Genomic DNA, 9,595 nt, shown 5'->3' with positions numbered 1-9,595 from the left:
GTGTCACTAATTAGCCCTGTGGCCTGGGACAGATCACTTAACCTCTTGATGCCTCAGTATTGTCCTCCAGAAGATTAGGACATGGATATCTAAAAGCCCCAGAGTTGCTTTTAGGATCAAATAAAACCAATTTATGGTCAAAATGCTATTGAAAGCTACAAATGATAAAACATTTCAACAAAATTTCTTATGACTAGACCTCTTATATCCAATTTGATGCTAGGGAGGCATAACACATATATATCTCCCTGCTTCTTATTTTCTCAAGGTGTTCTGTGTGTTCTTCCTATAATTGCTCTGGGTCATTGAAGAGGCTCAAGAGGGTTATATTTAGTAGGTCAGTATATTCACAAGCAAGAACTAGAATTGTAAAGAGATTCTAAGAACACATTTAGTACAAAAAGAGTATTTCTGTATTAGACCATCAAAAGTCAAAGGCATAATTTGAAATGATGAACGTATCCATTTTAAGTTACACAATACTTTGCATAGTTAATATCACTGTAATTAGTCATGGTTCCTATAATTTATTGAAAAAGATGCTGATCCCCTCTAGTGTACTACAGTGATGAATGTTCGAGGACCAACTTTGGAAGCTGGAAGCTGGAATCAGGAAAATGAGTAACAGTTGGAGAATTCGTATGTAAATCAATAATACCCTTTCTTCTTCATTTTGAAACCAGGATTTTCATCACACACTGCAAAATCAGAGTGCTCCCACAAGTTAGAGCTGTCACCACATTCCACAGAACTAGGCAGGCCATTTCTACCACAGGAAATGTTAAAAATCCTCTCAAACATTTGAGTAAATCTCTAGTAAATATTTAAACTCTGTATAACTAGTCACAAATAAATTAAGCTGATTTTATGCAGTCTCTCTAATTAGAAGGGCACAGCATTTGTTGAAACGTGATTAGTATTATTCATTAAGCAAAAAATTCTCATTTGTATCTTATTATCACTATTCTGCATAAACCAACACAATTTGTCATGAACTCCCTCATTTGCTGTATCCTCAAAAAGCAGATTATGCTTATTTTTCATTTGGACAGTGGAAAATCAAGCCAGGTGTTTGGCAGCACCAGAGTGTTCAGGTGTAACTGTGCCAGTGATGGCACATTACGAGCAGCGTGGATGAAGGATGAGGCATGGAGAATCTTGAGACCGAGGTGCCTTGAGGCCCATCCCTTCCGAGTGCCCCTGCTGATGAGACAGGTGTTGTACTGGGCTGCTGGGAGGGGAGGGGGAGATAGGAAAGAAACTTTTTTGTTAAGTCAGATCTTTCCCCTTCCATCAGAACCTGAAAATTCTTCCTCGGATTCCTGCTGCATTTGAGCTAGGGGCATTTGCACTGTAAGACCTCCACAGCAGTACCTTTGTTTAAAATATTTCCAAAGCATAAAAATTCAGCTCCATGATTTGTCTAGAACTGTCTGTCTGTCTAGACACATAAGCACTGTACATATTTGGCTTTTCAGACTTATAGATATTGACAGATAAGACAAAGACTATGTTATATTATCTGGCCAAGTGGGAACTGCGGGCTGCTTTTCCTCCTCTGCAATCTATTCTTTTTGTCTTTAAAATCTTCTTTGTTCTCCAGCTCAGGTTAGAGACTCCATTAGGGCTTGTGACTGCAGCTGCTTTATGATTCTGGCAGAAATAGGGATGTAAATGCTGTAGGGTCTATAAAATAGTGGAGTGATGATAGGAAATTATTTTTTAAGGAAGCAATGCTCTTAAATATGCTACTTCAAATCCTGTCTATTCTCTTGGAACTTCAGAGCTATAAAGGACTGTGCACTCACTATTTGGCCTTGAAGTGTGTCAGTTTCTCTTTTTGTCTCTCTATTTCTCTTTGTTGCTTCATTATCATCTCTTGTTTTTGTAAATACTCTGCTTTCTGTAGGCTGTTCTCCATACTCCTCCTGATATGGTTGATTTTCTGAGAGACCAGGCATGTGGAATGGTGTGGGAATAATATCCAACAAGAAAATACTGGAGAGAATGGGGATATTTCCTTAAAAACTCACAAAGCATAGGAGTGGAGTATAATGGTGGTCTTTAAATGTTGGCATGGCTGCAGAAGTCTCCCTAAAGCAGGCAGGAGGAAGATACAGGGTGGCAGATTACAGCTCAGCCTGAAGAAGTGCTCTTTAAACAGAGCTCTTCAGACATGAGCAGGCTAAACTGTGATGTGGAGAGCTCCCTATCACTGAAAGTAGTTAAGCAGAGTTTGTAGTGAGAGCTTCAATTAGATGAGTTTCAAGTTCCTTTCCATCACTAATATTTGATGATTCTCTTTTTGTGGAAAGACTTTGTTCAACTGCCTCCATCAAGAAAGTTGAGAGAATTTCAATGATGATAGAAGTTCAAAATATTCAGGAATCTCAAGTCCTGCTCTTCACTGCCTCACTTTTCCTCAAGACTGCAAAGAAGGCTACCTTTTACTGCGGGTTATCTGGTAAATGTTCTGTTAACACCTGGAGTGGCTGGTCATGCAGAGAAACCAGTATAATGCGTGACTCTTATAACTCCAGTTTTATGGTATCCTTGTCAAGATTTCCTATTGAACCCTGACTCATAGACTCAAAGACTCCTGTGCACTCCTGTGTGGTCAAGGCACAACTACAAAGATATTAATGGCCCATCCAGAAAGCATCATTCTTGGACTCACAGCATTTTCTTTGTCTTCTCCATGTATGAGGACTTGTCCAAATACAGGCTTCAGGTATTACATTTCGGCTATAACTAGTTTATGTAACTAGTGGGGAGATTTATAAAGTAAAAAGACTTTGGAAAATCCTGAGACAGAGACTCTCAGTGTGGAGGTGGAATTAATTACAAATTAAAGGGACAAATACATTATCTTCCCAAGTAGAAAACTAGTTGTGAACCTAGATTATTGGACAGGAGAGCAAAAATTATAAAACTTTTAGATGAGGTTTCTTGAATTGTGGTTAGGGACTACCTACTTGTTGAAATACCGATTCTTGAGCCCAGCCCCAAACCTATTATGGTAGCTTTTTATTGCTGTGAAACAAATTACCACCAACTTAGTAGTGTAGAGCAACATCTGTTTATTATCTCACAGTTCTGAAGGTCAGAAGTCCAGGTGAGCTTGCCTGGGTTCTCTGCTTAGGATTTCACAAAATTAGAATGAGACAAAATTTCGAGTCTCGCAAGGCTGGATTCTTTTCTGAAGGCTCTGGTAGGAAAATCCAATTTCAAGCTCATTCATGTTATCAGCAAAAATCAGTTCTTTGCCGTCTGTCAGCGGGGGTTACATTCTGCTCCTGGAGGCCACCCACATTTTTTTCCATATGGCCCCTCCACCTTTAAACCAGCAAAGGCACATGAAGTCCTTCTCATCCTTGGAATCTCTCTGACTTCCTCTGTCATATGCCAGAGAAAACTCTGTGCTTTTAAAGGAGTTTTATGATTGCATTAGGCCCACCCAGATAATTTAAGACATTCTAAGGTGCACTGACTTGAGACTTTAATTATATCTGCAAAATCCCTTCTCAGCAGTATGTAGGTTAGTATTCGATTAAATAAACAGGGGACTGGAGTCTTTGGGGTCCCTCATTTGAATTATTCCTACCAACCTACTAAATCAGAGTCTCTTCAGTGGAATCAAAGAAATTTTTTTTTAACAACACTCTAAGAGATTTGAATGAATAATAAAGATTAAGAACTGATTTAGAAGGATAATAAGCAGTGAATGTTAGGTGTCAAGTGAGTGATGCAGAAAATAACTGTTATAGGAGTTCCAAATGAGGGACCAATGAAGACTGAAGATGCCAGTGATTGCAGGGATAGCCATAGAGAAACTGGAGCTTGAGCTGAGTCTTGAAGGAAGCAAGACATTCAGAAGGGAGCAGTGCAGGCTTTTCAGGAAGGAGAGACTCATGAGCAGAGATTTGGAAATTAGAAAACAGATAACTGGCCTTTCAGAATACAATGAAAATGAGTGTGGTTGGAGTGGAGGTGTGTAATTGTGGTTTGTGAAGAAATGTGAGGTTGTGGGTATATAATGGAGGACCTTGGTTGTCAGGTCAAGAAATTTAAAGAAAAGCCATTTTAAAGAAAAAGATGTTTAAAAAGCAATGCAATTTTATTCCCTTTGCCCCGTTTACTCACCAAATTTCTCTGTAATTGAAGATCATAGTTTGATTCTCTTTCAGCAATGTCAAGGTCTTGCTTATTATCCAAAGATAGACAAACATTTTTATTTTTATTCACAGGGATGAGGAAGGAAGGGGATTTTCAAGTTGTAAGAAATAAACTAGCATACAGGAAAGGTTTGAAAACTCAGGGTTCAGACTCTTTGGTTGAGGAAGAGTGATGGTGACATGATACTTTTTTAGAAGCACGTTTCTAAAAAAATAATCTTAGGGATTATGATCCCTAAGATGTTCTCCATTTACTATTCTCCAAGGTTTAAATGTACTCCAAAGACCCCCGATAATGGAAAGTAGTATATGGGCAGGACTGCTAGTCACTGCATAGTTGTTGGTGTTGAAAGCTGAGAGTTAATATTGTAGCTTGGAAGAGAAGGTGGACTACCTTGGAGCTGGATTCAACAGCTTTGAAAACCAGATGAAAGCTGCAGATACAGGAGGGTATCATTTGACAAGCAGATGGATGACAGGGTTGGTACACTGGTGAGTGTTGTTAATTTAATGACTCCAGATAACATGTGTTTAAAATTGAAAGCAAATTACCGGGAAATAGCCAGCAAAGCTATAACTTGTGGACTTCTGGCCTCCCAGTAGATCTAGATGGGGAAAAGGGAAGGGACGTATGTAGTTCTTTGTTCTGAAAAACTTAAATTACTTCTTAGAAAGAAGCAGTATAGGCTTCCCCCAGTGGAAATTATGAGGGTTCAAATCAAATTCTCTACCCAGGAAAGTAGAGGTTCACTCTATTTTAGTGATAATTCTAAATCTTGTATTTAAAAATGCTAAATATATATAGAAAAGATTATCTAGTCTCTTTCCTTCCCATCACTGATGTGGGGAAATTCTGAATTTCTGTGTCACCGAACCATACAATTACACTTTAGAATCACAGATTACAAAATGACAGGACTTTGAGCCCTTAAAGTTCATCTAACTTCATCGCCTTTTAAATCCATTATTTTACTTATCTATGTAACCATCAATAATATTTTTATTACTCCATGTGAGTTTATAGGTATATAAAAATGAACCAAACACATCTCTGCTTTCAAGGAGCTCACATTTTACTCTAGGAAACAAACAGGAAAGTGGAGTCCTGTGGAGAGCTTAGCCTCCAGAATCAACAGCAGCAGTGAGACTTAGATGGTCTTAGACCAATGACAGCAGGGCTTAGCAAGGACCTGAGGCTCCACACCTACCTGGAATCAATGAGGTTAAACAAGATGGTACAAGGTGGGTCTAGTCAGCCCTAAGCTTTCACCATCCCTGGTGCCAGTAGGGCACAGTGGGGAGTGTAGCTGAGCTTACACCCTGCTTGAAGGCAGTGAGGTGGTGTGAATTAACCAGGAAGGGATCCTTGGGGCTGAAAAGGAAGCTCAACTTCCACTCCAATAATTTTTAATGAGGCAGTGTGAGTCTGCGCTCTACGTTTACATAGATAATGTCAGCAAGGCCCAGCGGGAAGCTAGACATACACACCCATCTAGTGTTCACACTGGAGCTCAGCAGGGGGACTATCAACAAAAAAGAAAATTAAATAGGATCAGACTCCATTACTATAATGTCCAAAATGTCCAGATACGGGTTAAAAAATCATTCCTCCTACCAAGAACTAATAAAATCACCACTTGAGTAAGAAATAATAATCAATAGGCATAAGCATCAAGATGAACCAGATGTTGGAATAATCTGAGGAGAATTCCAAAGCAGCCATCATAAAAATGGTTCAACAAGCAATTACAAATTACCTTGGAACAAATGAAATAAATGAAAACCTCAGAAAAATAATAGAAGTTATAAAAAACCCAAATGGAAATCATAGAACTACAAAAATCATTAAAAGCAACATAAAATACTCACTGGATGGGCTCAGTATTAGAGTGGAGATGACAAATGGTAGAATCAGTGAACCTGAGGATAGAATAATATAATTTACATAATCTGAGCAATGGGGAGAAAATAGACTAGAAAGAGGTGAGAAGAGAGAGTGGAACTGAAAAAACAAATTGAATAAATCTAAAAAATTCCTAAATTTGTTGAAAGATGTAAATCTACATATTCAAGAATCTGAGCAAACCCTAAAAGGGATAAACCAAATAAATTCATACTAAGTTACTTTATAACAAAACTTTTGAAAATTAAATACAAAGAAAAAGTTTTGAAAGCAACCAGAGCAGAAATGACACACTACTTACAGGGAAACAATTCAAATGATGGCAGATTTCTCATTTGAAACCAGGAAGGCCAGAAGAAAGTGACACAGAATCTTTCAAGTGCTGAAAGAAAAAAAAAATTTTATATCCAGCAAAAATATTCTTTGTAAAAGGAATGAAAATCATTACTCTTTTTTTTTTTTTTTTTTTTTTTCTGAGACAGAGTCTTGCTCTGTCACCCAGGCTGGAGTGCAATCACTGCAACCTCTGTCTCCTTGGCTCAAGCAGTTCTTGTGCCTCAGCCACCCAAGTAGCTGGGATTATAGGCATGCCCCACCATGCCCAGCTAATTTTTGTATTTTTAGTAGATACAGTTTCGCCATGTTGCCAGGCTGGACTCAAGTGATCCATCTGCCTTGACCTCCCAAATACATTCTTAAACTAAGAAAAACAAAGAAACAAAAACAAAACAAAACAAAATTGTCGCTACCAAACCTACTCTTGAAGAATCACTAAATAAGATTATCTAAACAGAAAGGAAATGAAAATAGAAGACAGAATGGATAAAAAAAATTGAGGTAAACATAATAGACTGTTCTCATGAATTTCTTGAATTATATTTGATGGTTGAAACAAAAATCATTACACCTTCTGATGTGGTGTTTAATATGTGTAGAAGAAATACTTAAAAACATTACATTTTAAAAGTGGAACATATAAAGGGATGTAAGTAAAAATAAGATTCCTTTGACTTCATTTGAAGTTATAAAATATTGAGACTAGTAAACTGTGGTAAGTTATAGTTCGGAATGAAAAAAATATGTTTTTTCTAAAACTAGAAATCTACCCATCAATGAAAACATCCTCAGTGAATTGTACATTGATAAGAAATACTATTTTATTGTGTTAATGACAACACAAAGTTATTCTGGTGCTTATCGGATTTCACTGGATCAGAGAGGTCTCCCTGAAAAATTCAGGCTGAAGATGGGAGCAAAAGAAATGGGGCTTGAAAACAGTAGATGAGTTCCAATGCCTGAATACCCTAAGTTCCACAACAGACTTCCAGCTTAAGTTTGAAGTTATCTAAAAAAGACTGTCTCTGCCTTCCCCCAGGTATCCCTTAGCAATTGAAATCTAATCCCACCAGTGTGTTCAGTCCCATAGCTGGGAAAATCAGGAAATAATTGTGCTGCCATAGTCCTGGTGTCTGGTTTCCCAATTACGAGTCATAGGCAATACACCTCCAATAAACGGAAGCCTTCCATATTACTATGTCATGTTGTGTGATTTCATGAATATCCATGGCCAGGTAACCAAGATCCTAAATCCAGCCTAGGTACCCATGGTGACTCCAGGGCCTGAGTACAATGTCAAGCACAATGTCATTTTGGGCAAACAAGTATTAATTTATGCCTTAGCACTCATGTCCACGTTGTCATGTATTTGTGAACTGGACTAGACTACACATAGGCTTTTCAGAATGTTTTTACCTTTCTAACTTGAAGTCCTTTTGCTTAAGCCTCATATGATAATCATGGTCTTCAGGAACTTACCACTTTCAGAGTGATGTTTCCATTTCCCTGTGCCTCCCTGGCCCTAGTGAGCCTTGCCATTAAAGCCAACAAAGAAGCAACATTAGGTAAAGGTAGAGAAGAACAAAGTAATGTGAACCCAGACAAGCAGGGACTCTTGAGGTATGGCAGAAAAGCAAATAACTCTTCATCTTTTGGCAGCTTATCTCCAAAGCTCTTTCCCGTATTATCATGGCCCAGTTGTGCATCTGTGAGAACTTTATTAGGCCCTTGGATTTTCCTTCTTGGAAGGGCCTTGAGTTTTCCATCTCAAGATGTGAGGGGCTTAAAACTCCTTTACAGTTATGATTTTCAAATGTCAGCTATGTGTGGTCCTGGGGATTCTTCTTGGAGTCAAAGAGGGTGACAGTTCTTTGAAGCAATCTTGCATGTATAACTAAATAGCTGCTCTGTTTGAAATGAAGGGTGAGGATCCCAAATCCCTAATTTTTAAGCCTTTTCAGGACTCCTATGAGGTACTTTCTTGGAACACTAGGACTCCACATGATACAGCTAGAAACCCCTAAATTAGAGCTAAGACAGTGTGGTGAATGCACAGGCCTGGACTTCCACCTTCTGTCCTAATGAACATTTCTGGCTACCCTCTAGAGTAGTGTTCAGGATACTAGCCAATTATCCTCTAGCTCATATAAGGACTGATCCCATCTCATTTTCTGTCATTTGCTATTGACTGGAGTATTGCTCCCAGTGACTGATCATCACTTGAGGATATACAACTATTAACCTACCTAATTTAGGAGAATTGCCTGTTACACATTACTGCTGCAGTGATCAGCATCTTTGGATCTGAGTGGGAACTTTGTACCCTTTAATTCTCAGTCCTAAAGGCCACTAGTCAGTTTCTACAGGTCTTTTTTTTTTATTATACTTTAAGTTTTAGGGTACATGTGCACAATGTGCAGGTTAGTTACATATGTATACATGTGCCATGCTGGTGTGCTGCACCCATTAACTCGTCAATTAGCATTAGGTATATCTCCTAAAGCTATCCCTCCCCCCTCCCCCCACCCCACAACAGTCCCCAGAGTGTGATGTTCCCCTTCCTGTGTCCGTGTGTTCTCATTGTTCAATTCCCACCTATGAGTGAGAATATGCAGTGTTTGGTTTTTTGTTCTTGTGATAGTTTACTGAGAATGATGATTTCCAATTTCATCCATGTCCCTACAAAGGACATGAACTCATCATTTTTTATGGCTGCATAGTATTCCATGGTGTATATGTGCCAGATTTTCTTAATCCAGTCTATCATTGTTGGACATTTGGGTTGGTTCCAAGTCTTTGCTATTGTGAATAGTGCCGCAATAAACATACGTGTGCATGTGTCTTTATAGCAGCATGATTTATAGTCCTTTGGGTATATACCCAGTAATGGGATGGCTGGGTCAAATGGTATTTCTAGTTCTGGATCCCTGAGGAATCGCCACACTGACTTCCCCAATGGTTGAACTAGTTTACAGTCCCACCAACAGTGTAAAAGTGTTCCTATTTCTCCACATCCTCTCCAGCATCTGTTGTTTCCTGACTTTTTAATGATTGCCCTTCTAACTGGTGTGAGATGGTATCTCATTGTGGTTTTGATTTGCATTTCTCTGACGGCCAGTGATGGTGAGCATTTTTTCATGTGTTTTTTGGCTGCATAAATGTCTTCTTTTGAGAAGTGTCT

General features: G+C 38.6%; 1 annotated feature.

Annotated features, from left to right (window-relative positions):
• Window positions 218–1,882: an enhancer, noted in NCBI's record as "VISTA enhancer hs1107". NCBI's record gives its function as "enhancer in: dorsal root ganglion[5/6]" and the evidence as "EXISTENCE:transgenic organism evidence [ECO:0001131][PMID:17130149]".

This window comes from Homo sapiens, chromosome 1, assembly GCF_000001405.40.
Source record: "Homo sapiens chromosome 1, GRCh38.p14 Primary Assembly".
NCBI classification, from domain to species: Eukaryota; Metazoa; Chordata; class Mammalia; order Primates; family Hominidae; genus Homo; species Homo sapiens.
Note: the sequence above shows the minus strand (reverse complement) of the source record. Positions and strands in the feature narration are given on the sequence as shown.